The sequence below is a fragment of the Homo sapiens genome, chromosome 18 (genome assembly GCF_000001405.40).
Source record: "Homo sapiens chromosome 18, GRCh38.p14 Primary Assembly".
Taxonomy (NCBI): Eukaryota; Metazoa; Chordata; class Mammalia; order Primates; family Hominidae; genus Homo; species Homo sapiens.
In genome coordinates, this window is record NC_000018.10 from 42,094,657 (window position 1) to 42,114,440 (window position 19,784).

General features: G+C 39.7%; 1 long non-coding RNA gene across 1 annotated transcript, besides 1 other annotated feature; it reads left to right on the plus strand.

Annotated features, from left to right (window-relative positions):
* The first annotated feature begins 13,157 nt into the window (after nucleotides 1–13,157).
* LOC124904350 (uncharacterized) lies at nucleotides 13,158–14,394 on the plus strand. Its single transcript, XR_007066453.1, has 2 exons — nucleotides 13,158–13,256; nucleotides 13,426–14,394. It is a non-coding gene; the product is annotated as an uncharacterized LOC124904350 (long non-coding RNA).
* Nucleotides 19,169–19,308: an enhancer, noted in NCBI's record as "active region_13249". NCBI's record gives its function as "activates an Ori minimal core promoter by ATAC-STARR-seq in GM12878 lymphoblastoid cells {active_cell/tissue: GM12878}" and the evidence as "EXISTENCE:reporter gene assay evidence [ECO:0000049][PMID:35858748]".

Genomic DNA, 19,784 nt, shown 5'->3' on the forward strand with positions numbered 1-19,784 from the left:
TTAAAAGCTTTAATAATTAATTTGATCTTTGAATCGATATTGTGTAAGTGAAGACTGATGGGACAATGGAGCACGTGTACCAGCAGAGGATATGCCACCATGTATGTGTCTACCACCACTCTTTGACAATCCATTTGCCACATGAACACAGAATTCTGGTGGGCTTATATGCATGTGGTTCAATGAGAAAGAGAGAAAAAAAGGTACCGTTTACATCTACAATGGAATAAGTGGGGACACTGACATTCTCAAGAGGCCACATTTTCCATTTGAACAAGAACTTGTTTAGACATAGAACACAAAAAGTCAAGAAACCCTATGCACACCCTGAACTCAGCATGCTTATGTGTGAGCTGTGGGGGCAGAGGTGATAGTATGAAGGTTAAGGTCCATCCAGTGCATAGCAATGCCCTGATGAGGCTACCATCTGGCCACACTTTTAATTTCACATACCTCTGGGCTTAGTCATTTTCTCCTAGGACCAGCACCTACACCTGAAAGAGGTGACAACTTCAACTACCCACCTGGTATTGACCTTAGGTTATCATCCTAGACTTCTGATTCACTCAACAATATTTTATTTGGGGATCCTTGATGTCTTCCACATCACTGGGCTTTTGAGAGGCACCTACTCCTATACCATAAGACTCCTTTATCTCTGAATCTTAGAAAGAGTTGAAATAAATGGCTTTATAAAAAAACAAAAAGTTCTCTAGGATCCTCATGTAACTTGCTCCATCCTCTCCCCCAAGATCTGCATGCAGAGACAGGACCTAGAAGAGAATGCCAGCTTCCCTAAGTCAGACCAAAAGTCCCCACCCTCCTTTTCTACAGGAATTATTACTTTCTGGTATATATCGGTGTAGCCTAGTGTCATGAACATAGGTGTCAAACCCAGAGCACCTCAGTTCTAAATCTATGTTTGCTTATATCTTACCTGAGTAACACTGAGGAAGTTGCTTATCTTCCCTGCACCTCAATTTCCTCATACAAAAAAAAAAAAGCATATAATAATAGAATTTACCTTTTGAAGTTGTTGTATCTTTTAAATAAATAACTCAATTTACAGGGCTTGTAACAGTGTCTGGCCTACACAGCATTATGTAACTATTCTGCATTATTAATTTTTTGAAGATGGGTAAAAAAGTTATTTATTCAAGTAATAATTTATTGAATCTTTATTGTATGTTTAGCATTGGGGGTACAGTTGTGAAAGGAACAGACATGTTTCCTACCTGCATGGATTTTACAACCTAGTAAGGCAACAGTTGGAGAGACAGACAGGAAGCAATCATACAAGCAATTTAATAGTTATAAAATGTAGTAAGTGCTTTGAAAGAAGCAACTGTGTGTGGTTAAAGAGAATACAAGAGGAAAATCTAGTTTAGATATAATCACCAAAAAAAGTCATCTGAGGAGATAATACTTTAAGCCAAGAATAGATGATGAAAGGAACCATGCATGAAAGGTTGAGGGGTAAAGGGAGCAGGAGGGGCATTTTAATTACAGGGAGCAGCATGTGCAAAGGTCTTAAGCCATGAAAAAGCTTGCTTTGTGCAATAACCTGAAAGAAAGCTAGTATGTCTGGAACCTGGTAATAAAGGTGAAACATTAAAAAAGGAGCCTGGAGAGGTAGGTGGAATCAAATCATACATGGGCTTATAAACCATGGGAAAAGTTGGAATTTTATTTAAGTGCAAAGGAAATCAGTGAACCAAATGATTAGGTTTAACTTATTAAATTATCACTTTGTTTCTTTCATAGAAAATGGACCTTTGGGGAAAAATCAGGAAGACTAATTAGTAATCTAGGAGAAAATTCTGGTGGCTTGGATTAGGGTGGTAAAAGTAGATATAGGGAGAAAGGAAATGAATTTGAAGCATGATTTGGAGAAAAATTGGATAGGACTTGCTGATGGATTGACTATGGGAGAGAAGAAGAGGGAGGAATGAAGATTGACTCTCAGCATCCTGGTGTGAGCAATAGAGTGAATTTTGGGGGCACTTGCAGTGATTAGGAAGACAGAAGAAAAGTTGAATATTTTAGGGGGAGATATAGAGGTGAATTTTCAGTTAGCTTATACACTTTGAGATAGCTCTGAGATATTTTACCTGGGCTGCCAATTAAAAACATAGCTTCAATAAGAGTCACAGCTTCAGAAAAGAAATTTGAGAGGTATAATTTTGAGAGTTATCTGTTAGTAGATGGTATTTAGAACATAAAAAGTGAGAGATGCAAGTGATGAAGAATACCCAAAAGAATATTGAAAAAAAATTAGAGAATTCAAACTCCCTGATAAACTTACTACAAAGCTACAGTAGTCAAGATGGTGTGGCACTGGCTTAAGGATAGACACACAGATTAATAGAATAAATTTAAGAATCTACAAATAAACCATTAACTTATGGTCAATTGACTTTTGAAATGGGTGCTAAAACAATTCAACGAAGGAAACAATAGCCTTTTCAACAAATGGTACAGAAACAACTGGATAGTCACATGAAAACCAACGAAGTTGGAATTGTACTTCAAGAAAAAATTAAAATGGGTTTAAAAATTGATCCAAAATGCAACATAGAAATTATTGTGTAATTATAAATTATAATTACAAATTATATATATAAATTATAGGTGTAAACCTACTTAAAACATTTGGAGAAAAATATAGGCAAAATCTTTGTGACCTTAGATTTTTAGGTACGTTTTTTAGATGTGACAACAAATGCGCAAGCAGCAGCGGCAGCAGCAGTAACCAAATACATAAGTTCAACTTTGTCAAAGTTAAAAACATTCGTACTTGAAAATACACCATCAAGGAAGTCACATATCACCCACAGAATGGGAGAAAATATTTGCAAGTAATACATTTGATGTTGGTGATGGACTTGTTCCTAGAATATATAATAGAAAACTTACCATTCAACAATTTAAAAAATCCGATTGAAAAAATGGGTAGAAGATCTAAATAGACATTTATCTAAGAGGATATACAAATACCCAACAAGTACATAAAAGGTTGCTCAACGTAATTAATCATTAAAAAGATGCAAATTAAAGCTATTATGAGATACCACTTCATACACATTAGGATAGCGGTCATCAAAAAGACAACATGTTGATGAGGATGTAGAAAAATCAAAACCCTTATACGCTGCTGTTGGGATTGAAAGATGGTTCTGCTGCTTTGGAAAACAGGTTAGCAGTTTCTCAAAATGTTAAACATAGAGTTATCACATGGCCTAGCAATTCCACTCCTAGATATATCCAATAGAAATGAAAACATGTCCACACAAACACATGAACCCAAATATTTGTAGCAGCATTATTTATGATAACCAAAAAGTAGAAACAACCCAAATGTTTACCAGCTGATGAATGGATAAAGAATTGTCATATATAATACAATGAAAAGTATTTGTTAATAAAAGGGAATGAAGTTTCAATACATGCTAGAAATGGGAACATTGAAAACATGCTAAGTGAAAGAAGCTACCCACAAAAGGCCACATCTTCTATGATACCATTTATATGAGATGTCCAAGATAAACAAATCTATAGAGACAGAGAATAGATAAGGGATAGGAGCAATAGGAAATGGGGAGCGGGTGCTTGTGTATGAGATTTTTGGGGGAGGGTGATGAAAATATTTTAGAATTAAGTAGTAGTGTAAGTAGTAGTGATGGTTTCACAACTTTGTATTATATGTAAATAATATTTCAATAAAATTGTTATAAAAATTTGTAAGGTCATCTAGAGAGAAAGTTTAAAAAGGTAACAGATAACCATTAGATCTGGTGATGTAGCATTATCTTTATCTCTTATTAGACTGTAAGTTCCCTGAAGGCAGGTTGATAAGAGCATTAATATATGTGGAATGGAGCAGAGACAGAGCAGAGTGGGTGGGGGACACTCATCAATCATCTTGAAGGACTGGAGAGAATAATAATTGTGGACCTCTGCTTTCTGCCTGTTGAAGAAGCAGTTAAGTGACGGGACAGCTACTAGAGGACATTGGATAAAGGGAGCAGCTTTTTTAAACATAGAAGATACCGGAACCATAGGTGATGGTGATGATTCAGTAAATGCAAAGGGGGCTGTAAGTAAAGAAGTGAAATCCCCAAGAAAGTGAAAAGGCATGTCATCCCAGAGACTAGTGGAGGAATGTACTTCAGTTGGGAAGAGAGTGAATCTTCCATTACAATAGGAGTGGCATGGAGCAAGATTCCAAACTCTCCTCCTGGGATGTACAAGTGGCTTAGAACAAGGAGATACAGGTTTTTTCAGCTTGGTATGCAGGACCATCTGAAAGCTGCCTTCAATGATAAAAAAATTTTTCTTTCCTTTTTTTGGCAACCATTTTAAACCTTAATTCAGACCTCCCAGAGTTCAAATGTTCAACCAGAGTGGCTGGCCCTCTTCAGTATTTCAGCCAATCAGATAGCAGCTCTGCTCAAGGTCCCAGCCAATCTAATTTCTTGGCCCATATGTAATTGAGCTTAGCAATGAAATGACATGTTCTTCATTCCACTTCTCTAACGGCATCATTTTGCAACCCCACTCCTGCCCAGTCTGGTAAAGAGGAAAGGAGTTGTAAATGTGTTCACACACACATTGCTCTTGTTCCTATATACCAATTTTCCTTTGTACTTCAAAAATATATGCTCATATTATGCTTTATGAGGGCTTTTACAATGGAAACAACCATCTACACCCTCCTCTTTCTCTCATTATTTTCCTAAATTTAACATCACAGATTTCATACTACTACATATTTCTGCTTAGTTGAAAATACTCATGATTAAAAATGAGCGTTGCCATTGAAATGTATCATGTTACCAAAGTATTTCTTGCAAATTATATAAAATTTATTTTCACTTTATCAGTAGGATTTAAAATATTTTTAAAATCACAAACAGCTGGGATCTTGAAAATAATGTTTCAAAATGAGATTTCCATCATTTTCCATGGAATGCAGGTGGAATGTCTGTTGTTAGGGAAAATATTTTAAAGATACTATTTTCTTTCCATAAGATTTTATAAAATGGCAGTGGTTTGAACAAACAAACAAATCTTTATGATCCATAATTGCAATACTTGAAATAATGAAATGATTAGAAATTATGGACTCTAAACGCCTTATTTTATGGAAGAAACTGATACCAAGAAAGGGTGCATGAATGCTCTGTGTCACAGGGGATTTTTGTGGGGCTGAGACCGTGTGCTGACTTCTCAGCTCCTACAATGCCTCCTCGTGATGAGGAAACAGCAGGACCTTCCTTATTATGCTAGTTGGTTCACTGAAGATGGATGTGATTCCACTTTCTCATCTCTAAAATGAAAAGGTTGAATTATACGTCTAAGGTTCTGCCTGGCTAGAATAACTGTAGTCTCTGAATTTGGACAAAAAGAAATGCAAATTGCAGGAGAAGAATGTGCTAAATGCAGATACTCATCACGATCTCAAATTGTAGTCATTTTTTTTCTTCAAAATAACAATACAAAAATTCCTTGCACTTTTGTATCATTCCGTACAGTTCTAGGGGTCCTTACAGTTATGGTCCATAGCATCCTCAGCAACAGAGTTGGCTATATAACTCACACTTGCCCTAATCATGGTATCCAGGCACATTATATACATATAGAATTTTATGTGCAGTCACTGGGAGATAAAGGTAAAAATTATTTGCTTTGAGGTTACTAGCTGGGATGATATAAGCCTGGAACTATCTATTTATAGTTTCATCCCTCCATGTCTGCACCACAGCCTCTAACCCCCTCAACAAGGAGGAAAATGAGCAGAGGAGGAGGTGCAGGGGATGGGTGGTGTGGGGCCGAGATGACAGGAAAATGAGAAATAGAAAGACAGAGAATCACTCAGATTCCTGATTTATCTATGCCTGAAGTGTCTTCCTGGACTTCCAATTACATGAGGCAATAAATTACTCCTTTTTTGCTTAAGCTAATTTGAATTGCTTTTCTATCACCTTTATCTGCAAGACCCTTGACTAATGCAATTACCTTTTACCCCACAGGGAAATGGAAAGCAGTTCTCAAAATAAAAGGCCTCAAAATAAATCCCAAGGATAGTAGGTAATATTCCCCCAATTATTAGACATGATCCTCAGTTATTTTCACTTATTCATTCATTTGCTGAGCACTTTACATATGCAAAGTACCCTATCTTAATCCATTCTGGCTTCTACAGCAAAATACCATAGACTGGGGTGGCTTATAAACAACAGAAATTTATTTCTCACACTTCTGGTGACTGGGAATCCAAGATGAAGGCACTGGCAGATTCAGGGTCTGGTGAGGACACATTCTCTGGCTCATAGTGTCATTTCACTGTGTCTTCACATGGGGAAGGAGTGAGCTAGCTCACGTGGACTCCATGGACTTGGACTTTGAATATGTTAATGAGGGGTTAGCATGCTGTGGTGGGGAAAGATAGAATGACTCTGTCTAGTCCACAGGAAAAGGTCATAAGCTGAGACGGATGTTATCTCTTGGGTGGAGACCACTGACTTTGTCATCCTGTTCTTGACTTTGAGAAAAATACAAAACACTGACAATCTGAAACAAATCATTTAGAATGAGAGAGTGTGAAAAAACAGAAGCAACAAAGAAAGGGGAGGAGGAACTGCCAAGGACTCATTAGGACAACAGATATCAATTGCCACATCTCCAGGTACTTGAAAAATTAGTTGAGCTGCTGGTGAGGGAGCATTTCTTTTTGAATATGACTGATGGAAAAGATCAGAAAGCAAGAGTTAGCAGAGGTTTGTGAATCTAAATAAGCTGCTTAATGTTGCTGAATAGAAAAAAAATCTAGATAGATGTTTTAAGCTTGCTTCTTAGAAGGTTCAAATACAGAAAAAAGACAAATTAGTAGTGACAACTTTCTGTGGACTGAATCCAAACAAGGTAGCTCATCAGAAGAATTGAAATCTTAGCAATAAAGTTTTGTGTGAAACATTTTTTTAAAATGAAAACTAAAGCTTAAATATTGGATCTGCCTTTAAATTAATATCCTTTGGAACTGGTATGTATGTAAACCTTGTAAAAATCCATGAATTATCAATCCATGGCAGAGTCTCATAGAGTTTACTTTTGGGTTGCTGATCATGTGTTAGGAAGAACATAGGAGAGCTTAGTTGTAGGGGAAACAGAATGCGAGGGCTGGGCACAGTGGCGGACACCTGTAATCCCAGCACTTTGGGAGGCCAAGGCAGGCAGATCATGAGGTCAGGAGTTCGAGACCAGCCTGGCCAACACGGTGAAATCCCGTCTCTACTAAAAATACAGAAGTTAGCTGAGCATGGTGGCTGGCGCCTGTAATCCCAGCTATTTGGGAGGCTGAGGCAAGAGAATCACTTGAACCCAGGAGGCAGAGGTTGCAGTGAGCTGAGATCATGCCACTGCACTCTAGCCTGGGCAACAGAGCAAGACTCTGTCTCAAAAAAAAAAAAAAAAGAAAAGAAAAAAGAAAACAATGCAAGATTCAAAATGTTTAAGTAAGAGTCTATGATATCATAATACTAATTGCAAAAATATTGTAATGTTTGTTAGCAGTACATAATATAGTCAGGATGAAGCCTTGATAAGTTACTGAATGAATAGAGCTGGAGTCTACATAACTCTGATGGGACAGACCCTAGACCTCCCTTCCTTCAGCTGCTGCTCCAGCCCCTCATTTTCCATGATGTAGTAATAAGTTCAGGCCCTTGCACTTGTGTGCATGGTTGGGAGCCAATGTGCACCCAATTCATGTGCCCTCTTCAGTTGTTTTCATCAAAAAATGCCTGTAGTCCGGCCCCATTCAAAACAGTCCAGGAGGTAAAGTTCTCGACTGTCTTCCCAGGGACTCTGGCTTCTGAATTTTATTCCATCCTATGCCAAAGACCTCCACACTCTGACAAGAAAGCTCTTGCTCAAGTGTGCATTGTCACAGTGCTTAAAAAGTGGATGACATTCACATCACATGCAGTAAATAAGATCCTGTGAGAGTTTTCTAAGTAATCCATGGTTGGTGACATGTTTCCAGTTTCCTAAGCACAGTTGGGCATCATCCTGCTAGGGCCAGTGAAAGGAAGGTGACTCAGATTCTAACTAGAAGACCACGAGTGGCCTCTGGAGTGGCTCTGCCACCTCATTGCATTTAACTCGGGCCCTTCTTTTTGGGGCTTAAGTTTCTTCATCTTTGAAATGAGGGAGTAGAATGAATGGCCTACAGTTGTCCATCTTGTTCTAAATGTCACTGATTCAACAAAAACAGACTCTCCCAACTTTTCATTTTCTTAAATGAATAAAGGTTCAGCACTTGTTTTAATACCAGAAAAAGTGAAGTTGTTTTTGTGTCAGTAAAGGTATGACCAGAAAAACAGAAGAGGTAGGAAATATATTCAATTTATTGCAGGAAACTGGCTTATACCATTGTGAGATCTGGCGAGGCAAGAACAAAATCTGTAGGATAGGCCATCAAGAAGGGCAGATGGAGGCCGGGTGCGGTGGCTTACACCTGTAATCCCAGCACTTTGGGAGGCCGAGGCCCGTGGATCATGAGGTCAGGAGTTTGAGACCAGCCAGGCCAACATAGTGAAACCTCGTCTCTACTAAAAATACAAAAAAGTTATCTAGGCATGGTGGTGGGCGCCTGTAATCCCAGCTATTCAGGAGGTTGAGGCAGGAGAATCGCTTGAACCCGGGAGGCAGAGGTTCAATGAGCCAAGATCATGCCATTACACTCCAGCCTGGGCAACAGAGCAAGACTCCATCTCAAAAAAAGAAAGAAAAGAAAAGAAAAAAAAAAGAAAGGCAGACTGGAACTCTTGGACACAGGTTGATCCTGTAGTCTATCGGCAGAATTTCTTCTGGAAATCTCAGTTCTGCTCTTAAACCTTTTCAACTGGTTGAATTTGAACCGTCTGATTATCTAGGATAAACTCCTTTACTTAAAGTCATCTTATTATGAACATTAATCACACCTGCAAAATGCCTTCTTGGCAATGCCTAGAGCGTATTTGATGGAATAACTGGGGGTTAGAGCCTAGACAGGCTCACATAAGGTTGACCTCACAGTACGCATCACAGTAACAGCTCCCACTGGACATTTATTTCTGAGGGCAGAATTTCCTTGGTATGGAGTGGGCTCCTTTTGTCCTCATCTTAGTGAGCTTCACAGCGGCTTTCAAGACTGTTGGCCGATGTCTGTTTTTCCCACCCAGTCTCCTATTTTGATTTCCTTGGCATTGCTCCCACCTAGTTTTCCTCTTACATCTCTAACAGCTTCTCAGATCCTCCTCCTCCACTTAGCCTTTACTTCCGTCTGTACATTCCATCTTTGCCTAACTTCATCTCTTCTGCTGCTATTGAATACCATTATATGCTGGTGACTTTCTCAATTGCATCTCCAGCTCAGAACTTGCCTTTGAGCTTCAAATGCATAACCAACTGCTTATGTTCCTTATCACCACTCCCAGGAATCTCAAAGTCAAAACATCCCAAGTAGAACACACTGTCTGTCTCCCACCACCAACCCTACTCTTCCATTGCCTTTCCCATCATGGCTAATGGCACCATCACCCACCATTTTTCATGTCAGAACTCATCATTCTAGATTTGATTTCCTTCACTCATTACATCTAAACCAAGCCACAGTCCCATTTTTCACATCTGTCTGCTGTCTCCACACAATTGTTCCTGCCACTGTAGCAAAACTCTCTTACTTCTTGTCAGAACAATTACAATTGCCTTCTAACTCATCTGCCTTCTTTACTTCTTGCCTTCCTCCAATTCATTCTCCAGAGAACACTTTTAGTGGTTTTAAAAGATGTAAATCAGATCACATCACTGTGCTTAAAAGTATTTCCTGCTCTCTTGTTCTCACTCATAGGTGGGAATTGAACAATGAGAACACTTGGACACAGGAAGGGGAACATCACACACCGGGGCCTGTTGTGGGGTGGGGGGAGGGGGGAGGGATAGCATTAGGATATATACCTAATGTAAATGACGAGTTAATGGGTGTTACATATGTAAAAACCTGCACGTTGTGCACATGTACCCTAGAGCTTAAAGTATAATAAAATATATATATATATAAATGAATTTAATAAAAAGTATTTCCTGCTCTCACATATACACAGAGTACAGTGCTTCTTGCCAGGCCCCATTTCTTCTCTGTGTCTTGATCCATCTCAGTGCTGTTTCTTTTGTTTTATTTCTTTAGAGACAGGGTCTCACTCTGTTGCCCAGGCTGGGCTGAAACTCTGGGCTGAAGCAATCCGCCCACCTCAGACTCCTGAGTAGCTGGAATACAGGCAAGAGCAGCACACCTGGCCTCAGTGTCATTTCTACATACTGTTTCTTCTGTCTGGACTGCCCTTCCCTGGCTTTTTGCATAGCTGTATTCTCATCTTTCATGTATCTGCTTCAATGTCACCCCCTCAGAGACACCTCTTCTGGCAAACCTGTAATAATAAGTCTTCTTTATTATTCTGTATCTCAGCACTCCTTTGTCTTGTCTCACAGCACTTGTCAATTCAGTACTTATATGTGTGTCCATTAATTTTACTTGTTTGTATTGTTGTGCCTTCTCTTGCATTCAATTACCTTGCAGTGCTACGGTAGAAAATTAGAAATTCAACTCTGAAAATAGAGGATAAACACATATTACCAGTTAAGATATACATATGAAATAGTATTAGCATGAATTCTAGGAATTACAGCTTTCAGTAAATGCTGAGTTGATTTAATTCCTTCTCTAAGCGATGATTTTATTCTATAAACTTCTCTTCATCTAGTGTTTTTGCAGAAAAATGGAATCCATTTTATGTGCTTTCTTTAGTTCAACACATGAAGTTGGTCTGAATATTTCATAGGCACCTCCAGGTGGTTAGCTGTCTGGTCCCCTGCTTTGCTTTCTCTAAACCACAAAAATGAAACACATGGAACCAGAGAAGAGTTTTAGTCTTAATTCTGCTTCTTTGCTGTGTAATTAGGAACCTGTCAGCTCATTGTCTAAGTGACAGGCATTGAACAAGCTGCACGCATGGGGTGAAATCATAAAAGCAACTTTATTTGCCTCCCTCAATCCCTTTACACTTGCTCTGTTGGGAAACTCCTCTGCTGTTCTTGATGAAAATTTAACAGATCCTTTGGGTTTTCGTGTTTAGGTAGTAAAATTTCCTACAATCCCTTTAAATCACAGAACATGGTTTCAGTTTAACACTTAGTCCAAGGTAACAGCCAAAGCTTCCAACTTTACTCAGGGTTGTAGCTGTTCCCTTTCCTCTGGTGGGGTCTAATGGCAACAACCTTATAGCCAGGGAAAGAGATGGGAGGAGAGGTCATTATCCATCTTCTCTCCCCACCTCTCCTATCCCATCTTGCTAAGGTAGGTTTTTGACCATTCAAAGTAAGAAGGTAGAGGAGAGAAATGGGGTCTGGAAATTCATTACTTAAATGGTACTGCTCTGAGATCGCTTTGCGACTTGGGGGTCCAGTAGGCATTTGAGATGGTCTCTTTCTCTTGTCCATGCCTCAGTGGTCTTTCATAGGCTTCCATGAGGGACTGCCCTATCAATGACCTCCTCAAATTTGCTGCCTTGCCCTCAGGCCTGCTTCTTGGCAATTTACTTCACAGACCCTCTCTTTCTGGCAGTTTTCTTGCATGGGATTTAACATGGCCCCAGGACAGCTCTCTCCCATGTGGCCTGCATCTGGTCCTACATTAGAAACTTGTATGTATTCTCTGCTCTAACAGAGCAGTGATTCTTCTTCACTGTCTCTCCAAAGCCACACACGAGCATTCTCTTTTGTTCTCTGGGTTTCCTGGATTTGAGTCTCTCCTCAAGCACTCTCCTTACTGCATAGAGTTTTTTACTTGTGGGCTCTTCTCTTTTTTAAGAAATAAATTTTACTGTGTGTACTTAAAGTATGCAAGATGATGAAGCCTCTTCTTTTTAACACTTGGTTACAGGGTTGGACCTAGAAGAAGCTGGACCATAAGAGAAGCTAAATGAGAAACAGAAGCTGGGGTCAGAATCTCTTCTTCCTTTCAATCTTGAGAAAATATCTTTGAACTAAGTGTCTCTTCTCTTCCTCTTTTCCTTATATAGTTCCCTAAGGAGGCCACTCTGGAGACCTTCTAGACATGTAAAATGAGGATAATAATAGTTCCTACCTTATAAGGTTGTGTGAAGGTTAAATGAGTTAATGTGTGTAAAGCACTTACAACAGATCTTGGCACATAGTAACTGCCATGTAAGTATCAGCTATTATCATAATTGCAATGCCATGCAGATGAACCCTCTAGTTCATCGTTATAGTTCTATGGGCTTTAGGCAGAGAGGTGGCCATGGAGATGGGAGAAGCAAAGAGAATTAGCCTTGAACAGGAGACTTGGGACTGTACGTAGGGGACTTAAGTATCTGAGGTTTATTAACTTGACAGGAAGCAGCTAATTTAAAACAGTATTATTGAAATTTCTTTGAGCTATGCTTCATGAAAAAGAAATGTTGAGCAGACAGACAGTGAAATATTAAATGTATGCACTTGGCTGAAAGGAAAAAAAAATTAATGGGACATACTACCTCATTAAGTAAATGCAGCAATTAATTCTTTACTCAGTAAGCTAGATAAACTTCAAAAATCCCTATTTATACTTCAAACAGTGTCTAAATGATTTAGCTGATATTTCAAAGGGACACTGAAGCTCAATAGGAATTAAGATGCTAAATCGTTAGCCCAGGAGCAGTCAATACCTCTGTCAGCAGTTGGGTTATTGTTCATTTTAGGCATTGAGTTGCTATTGTGTTCTGTGTTCTTAGGCTAACAAAAGGCACAGAGTATGCATACCCAACACAGGTAGTGCCTTGTAGTGAGTGCTCAGTAAGCACGCATTGGATATAGAGCATTCACTGGCCTATAGTGTCACCTCCCTGACTGCATTCGCCCATTCCACAAAAGTCCCACCGTGTTTTAGGGGTCCTACATTCTCCAATTTTTATAAAATTAGTACATTGTTTACAATCAGAAAATAAGTCCCTTGGAACTTGGACCAGTGAGCACTGTAATCAGCGTTCACCTGCGTTGGTTTTTCTTTCTACATATTTGTGTGCCTGGGTTCTTAGGAGCTCCTGCTGCCCTCCCTGTCTGCCAGTTCCAGGAGGCTTGCTGACCAGCTTAGCCTTTCACGCTCTCTCAGATCCTGCTGGCCGTGTCTCCTCTCTCCCAAGAGCTACGTGTAAAACATGGTATGTTCTGCACGTTTTAATTTAGCCACATTGATTCCATTGATGCCTTGTCAGATACTCTGAAGCCTGAGGCTTCATCAGCCACACAGGACAGATCAGAGATGGGCCCTCTGACTTTTTGACCCTGATTATTCTTTCTTTTTATTCTGGTTTTCTCTTGGCATTATAGAATGATGTGGAGAAGGAGATCTGGGGAAAGGGAAAGGAAGAGAACAAGGAGGAGGGAGTAAGAGGTCAGAGCTCACACATACACAAGAACAAAAGGACTGCAAATTGGGATGTCTCTCCACAGCAACCTTCCCTTCTTCCCTTTGAAAAGTCGATGCTGAACCATCTGTCATCTCTCAGGGACTCCAGCTCCAGGCTGGCTTGGACCAAGTGAGAGCTGCCTAGCCAGTCACTCATCAGTCCGTCCTAGGGCTGCCTCTGTGCATTCATCCTGCTTTCCCCAGGTGGGACATTCCGCTGCCTTTGGGGCTTCACACCCCAATTATTTATTAAGGAGACAGAAAAGAATTGTTGATAAAGGCCGTGGCTGGAGAGCAGGAAGTAGCCATGGGCTGCTGCAGGGGTGGGCTCCTGCTTAGCAAATGTTAGACCAGGTTTGTCTTGCTGCTGTTTTTATTTTGTTTGGACACTTTTTACTGTTGTTATTTCACACATCCAAAGATGATATGTGCCCTAATTGCATTTCCACAGCACCTTTGACAATTCTGAGAATCTATTAATTTTTTAAATTCAAGCCTTGGCATTAGAGGTTCCTACAATATTTGAGTCTGGTTTGTATGTGAAGGTGGGTTGGGGTTGAGGAGTCTGTGAATAATATATGCAATTTATAACTATCTGTGAAACTGAAAATAAAATAGGTTGTATGTGCATGTCTGTGTGTGTGTGTGTGTGAGTGTGTATGAGAGAGAGAGAGAGTGAGTATGTTGGGGGAAAAGAGTGACTGTATTTACATCCTCTATTTGGAATTTAGAGTTTTAAGTGAAAGTTGGTCCCTTTATCTAACCTGTCAACATTATAGATGATGCTGTATATTTATAAAGATATTTGCATATCTTTTATCAGATGGATGCTCTTAGTTGATTTAGTATTCCAGCTTCTATTTGGAAAATAAATTAATATTGAAAATGAACATGAAAAGCTCAGGGAATTTGACTCACTGCCAATGCTGGGGTCCTCTTGCACTGGGATGTGTGACCTTTTGGGTTTAATGCTGGATGTAGTCAAATTAGTGAAATAGGGGCCTTCTCCATTCTTTTTCTTTTTTGTACCACCCACCTTCAGGTTTACTCTGTATCCAAATCCTCAAAGGTTTGTTCTGGTCTCTACTGTCTGCCAATCATCATTTAAGATGAAACCTTCCTTCTCTTGTGTTTTAAACGGACATTCTTGAAGACCTAATGCATACAAAATTAAAAAGAGTAGTGTCTTTAAGAATTTCCACACACAAAAAAGCAAAACGGTGTTGACAAAGTGCTTTTCAAAAATTGATACATATTAATTCTACATATTTTGGGGGTACATGTGATATTTTGATGCATGCATACCATGTGTAATGATCAGATCAGGGTAACTGGGATATCTATCATTTCAAACATATATCTTTTCTTTACGTTGAGAACATTCCAATTTTTCTCTTCTAGTTCTTTTGAACTGTACTTTGCATTATTATTAATTATAGTCACTGTACTATACTATTGAACACTATCTGAATGTAATTTTTTTTGGGGGGGACAGAGTCTCGCTCTGTCGCCCAGGCTGGAGTGCAGTGGTGCGATCTTGGCTCACTACAACCTCCGCCTCCTGGGTTCAAGTCATTCTCCTGCCTCTGCCTCCCGAGTAGCTGGGATTACAGGTGCCTGCCACCATGCCCAGATAATTTTTGTATGTTTAGTAGAGACAAGGTTTCACTATGTTGGCCTGGCTGGTCTCGAACTCCTGACCTTGTGATCTGCCTGCCTCGGCCTCCCAAAGTGCTGGGATTACAGGCCTGAGCCACCGTGCCCGTCCCTGACTGTAATTTTGTACAGATTAACCAAACTCTCTTTATCCCCCTCATCCTTCCTAGCCTTTGGTAACCATGAATCAGCTCTCTACCTCCAGGAGTTCCACTTTCTTAGCTCCCACATACGAGTGAAACCATGCAGTTTTTGTCTTTTTGTGCTTGGCTTACTTCACTTAAAATAGTGACCTCTAGTTTCATCCATGTTGCTGTAAATGACAGAATTTCATTCTTTTTATGGCTGAATAGTGCATATATTCCACATTTTCTGTATACTTAAGTGTATGGACACTTAGGTTGATTCCATATCTTGGCTATCATGAATAGGGCTGCAATAAACATGGGAGTGCTGATATTTCTTTGATATATGGATTTCCTTTCTTTTGAACATATACCCAGCAATGGAATTTCTGGATCATATGGTAGTTCTATGTTTAGTTTTTTGAGGAAACTCCATACTGTTTTATGGTGGCTGTACTAATTTACACTTCTTCCAACAGTGTATAAGTGTTCTGTTCTCCCTTCTCTACACCCTAACAAAGTGCTTTTGCATAAATTATCTCATTCTGATTTTTCTTTCTAAATTACAGAAGTCTTGTTCAACAGGAAGGGTAGATTTTATTGTATATATTTTAAAGATCATAAAGCTGATATTCAGAGAAATTATTTAAAGCCACCATGAGCTCCAGTTCTAACATATGAAAGCTCATTTTAACTCCCTTGAAGTGCTTTCTCCCTCTATGATATTGCAGTGCCTATCTTCTACTATGATGGAGTGTCAGACAATAGAATGGAAAAGGAAGTTAGACTTTTGGCTAGAAAAGTTTAGCCATAGTCTTGAGAATGGGCTTTTGTGCTACCTGTCTTAAAGATGAACATGGTAGACTAGAACCTACTTGGGGTCAGACAGAATTTGGTTCTTAATCCAACTCTGCAACTTGCTAGCTGTGTAATCTTTGCAAGTTACTTAATGCCTCTGATTCCCAGTTTCACCTACTATAAAATGGAAAAATTTTGAAGAATTGTGACAATTTGAGATGTGCATATAATTTTCTTGGTTTTGGTATTTCTGATTATTAACACCTCACACTTGCTCTCTCCATTTTCAGGACAAGGAAAGCTTAAATAAGAAGATAATTCAGGCTATACATACAAGTGTTTACACACAGTTTGGCTTGGGGTTAAAAAAACAAAACTGATATAATTCTGATAAGCAATAATTTTTATGTTAACAAACAGCTTATTGATTCAGTCAAATCTGGGTTTTCCAAATAGGGGTTTATATGAAGATAAAGTCTCATTTCATTGAGTTCTCACACCTGGCTGTCTAATACACTCATCTGGAAGGTTCATCTGGGGGACTAGAAAACAAATGAAGCAAGAAGTGGGATGTCAAGAAGTATGGAAGGTCTCATCAGAGTTTTACCCTAATTGCAAGGTGGCAAATTGTTCTACCACAATTTCATGGGCACTGGCAGAACACATGAGTCTCCTGAGTCAGAGACAAAGGATTTTATTGCTCACAGCAAAGCTAGCAGCATGAGCCTCATGTTCATGTCAGTTTCTCTTGGCCCTCAAGTTCAGAGGCAACATGGAGTAGCCTAGGTAGATGCTGCACACATAGTGAGTGTCACAGATGAGAAATCTTGAATTTAGGAAACCCCAATAGTTTATTAATGGACTGCAAGCAAACTTGCCCTTCCTTTTTGCAGAGAAAGTCATTATCTTTATTTACTAAGCTACAAACTGTTGCGGGAAGTCAGGGACTCCGAATGGAGGGACCTGCTAAAGCTGTGACAGAAGAACATAAATTGTGAAGATTTCATGGACATTTATCACTTCCCCAATCAATACCCTTATAATTTCCTATGCCTGTCTTTACTTTAATCTCTTAATCCTGTCATTGTAATCTGAGGATGTATGTCGCCTCAGGACCCTGTGATGATTGTGTTAACTGCACAAATTGTTCATAAAGCATGTGTGTTTGAACAATATGAAATCTGGGCACCTTAAGAACAGGATAACAGTGATTTTCAGGGAACAAGGGAGGTAATCTTAAAGTCTGGCTGCCTGTGGGCCGGGCAGGACAGAGCCATATTTCTCTTATTACCGAAAACAGGTAAGAGACATATTGAATTCTTTCCCCAACAAGGAATATTAATAATTAACAGCTGTGGGAAAAGAATGCATTCCCATGGGGGTCTCTAAAATGGCCACTCTGGGGGCGTCTGCCTTATGCAGTTGCAGATAAGGGATGAAACACACCCTGGCTGCATGCAGCACCCCCAGGCTTGCTAGGATTAGGAAATTCCAGCCTGGTGAATTCTAGTCATACCGGTTCTCTGCTCTTGAACCCTGTTAAGATGTTTATCAAGGGCAATGCGTGCACAGCAGGACATGGAAGTTCATGGGTGATTCTAGTTTTGCCCTGACCTTGTAATCTCGCCCTGACCTTCTGTCTGTGATCTTTTGTCGCCCTTGAAGCATGTGATCTCTGTGACCCACACCCTATTCGTACACTCCCTCCCCTTTGAAAATTGCTAATAAAAACTTGCTGATTTTACAGCTCAGGGGGCATTATGGAACCTGCCAACATGTGATGTCTCCCCAGGACACCCAGCTTTAAAATTTCTCTCTTTTGTACTCTTTCCCTTTATTTCTCAAACCGGCTGACACTTAGGGAAAGAGAAAAGAACCTACATTGAAATATTGGGGGCTGAATTTTCCCCGATAACAAATAAACCTGCCTTTGGCTCTGGAGGGAGTGATCTTCTAAGGCTGTTAGCTATACAAACATATTTAGGAAGACAGTCAAGAACAAAGGGAGTTGGGCCTCTGTTTCTAAGATATGCAGAAACAAGAAAGAGCCATAGAGAATTGTCTCACTGCAAATGACATACACATTCTTTGTTGATGAAATAATATCCGCTAAAAGCCTACTGTATATTAAGTGCTGTTTGTTTTACAACGGCTCAGTGACAAAAGTCAATACATTGCTGTATTAGTCCATTGTCATACTGCTATGAAGAAATACCCAAGACTGGGCAATTTATAAAGAAAAAGATATTTAATGGGCTCACAGTTCCACGTGGCTGGGGAGGCCTCACAATCATGGCAGAAGGCGAAGGAGAAGCAAAGGCATGCCTTATATGGTGGCAGGCAAGAGCACGTGTGCAGGGGAGCTGCCCTTTATAAAACCATTGGATTTCATAAGACTTATTCACTATCACGAGAACAGCATGGGAGAAACCCGCTGCCATTATTCAGTTACCTCCCACCGGGTTCCTCTGACGACATGTGGGGTTATGGGAGCTACAGTTCAAGATGAGATTTAGGTGGGGACACAGCCAAACCACATAGAATCAAGAGTTCTTTGGTAACATCCTCCAGAATTTCTCTCCTTTGAGAATACAGATGAACGTTTCTAGATTGAGCTCACTTTCTTTTACTGGTAAACTTGCCAGACTTAATGTTTTTAAGGTTTCTCCCTCCCCAACTTTTAAAAATATTTGCCATTGAGCACTTACTATGTGCTAGGCACACTGAAGCTTTTCATGACTTAGTGCCTGCCTATCTCTGTTTTACAGATAAAGAAACTTCTGCCCAAGTGTTAAGGCAGCTTAACCAGGGTTACATGGGTGTAGACTGTTGCCAATCTCAACTACGAAAAAAAGCAAAGTGTGTCTTTGATGCAATTTTGCCTTCTTGAAATATATTTACCTTCTTCAAATACTTGGAGGGGGAGGAATGAGTACAAATGGAATGGGGAAGTGAGAAGCAGAAACAGAAAAACTGAGAAAAAAAATTCTCTTCACATTTTTTAGTCACCATTTAAGCTGCTATATATACACAGTGTGCTTGGGGAAAGCTGTAAAATAATTAATAGTGCATGGGAGGAACATTTGTATTTCAATTGTCTACATTTAAGGAACGCTTTGCATATCTGTTCAAGGCTTCCAATCATGGCCTTTAACATGAATGAGGGAGGAGGAGACAAAGGAGGCCCAGAGGCTAGAGAAAGCCTCAGACAGGGCACATCAATCGCCATAGAATCCCAGACCTGACCTTGTTGCCAAGCCTCGAAGTCCAAGTCTGGTTATCTGTGTTTTTTCACTGAGAATGAAGTTCTGTTTGTGGCCTCTTCTGTGGTTTACCCATGATTGCATCAGAACGGTGCCCATAATTTTCCTTTATAATTGGCTTATGTGGGCCACATGCAATAAAGGTTATTGGACTCTAACCAGTCACTTCATAAACTTTCAGATGCACTAATTAGGTTTATATGTGCCACAATCCTAGAAGGAGAGAAAACCAATAACTTTCAGCCAAAACTTATCTGAATTCTCAGGGCCTAGAGAATTCTGCTTTGTTAGAGTAAAAATTAGCTTTCATCTTTCAAGTGCAGCTATGAACTAATAATAAAGACCCTGAGGGTTTTCAGTACTTCATATTTTTCACCCCTGTAGCTAAGAAAGTAGACAGAATAGGCACTATTATCTCCAATTTCATGCACGAGGCCG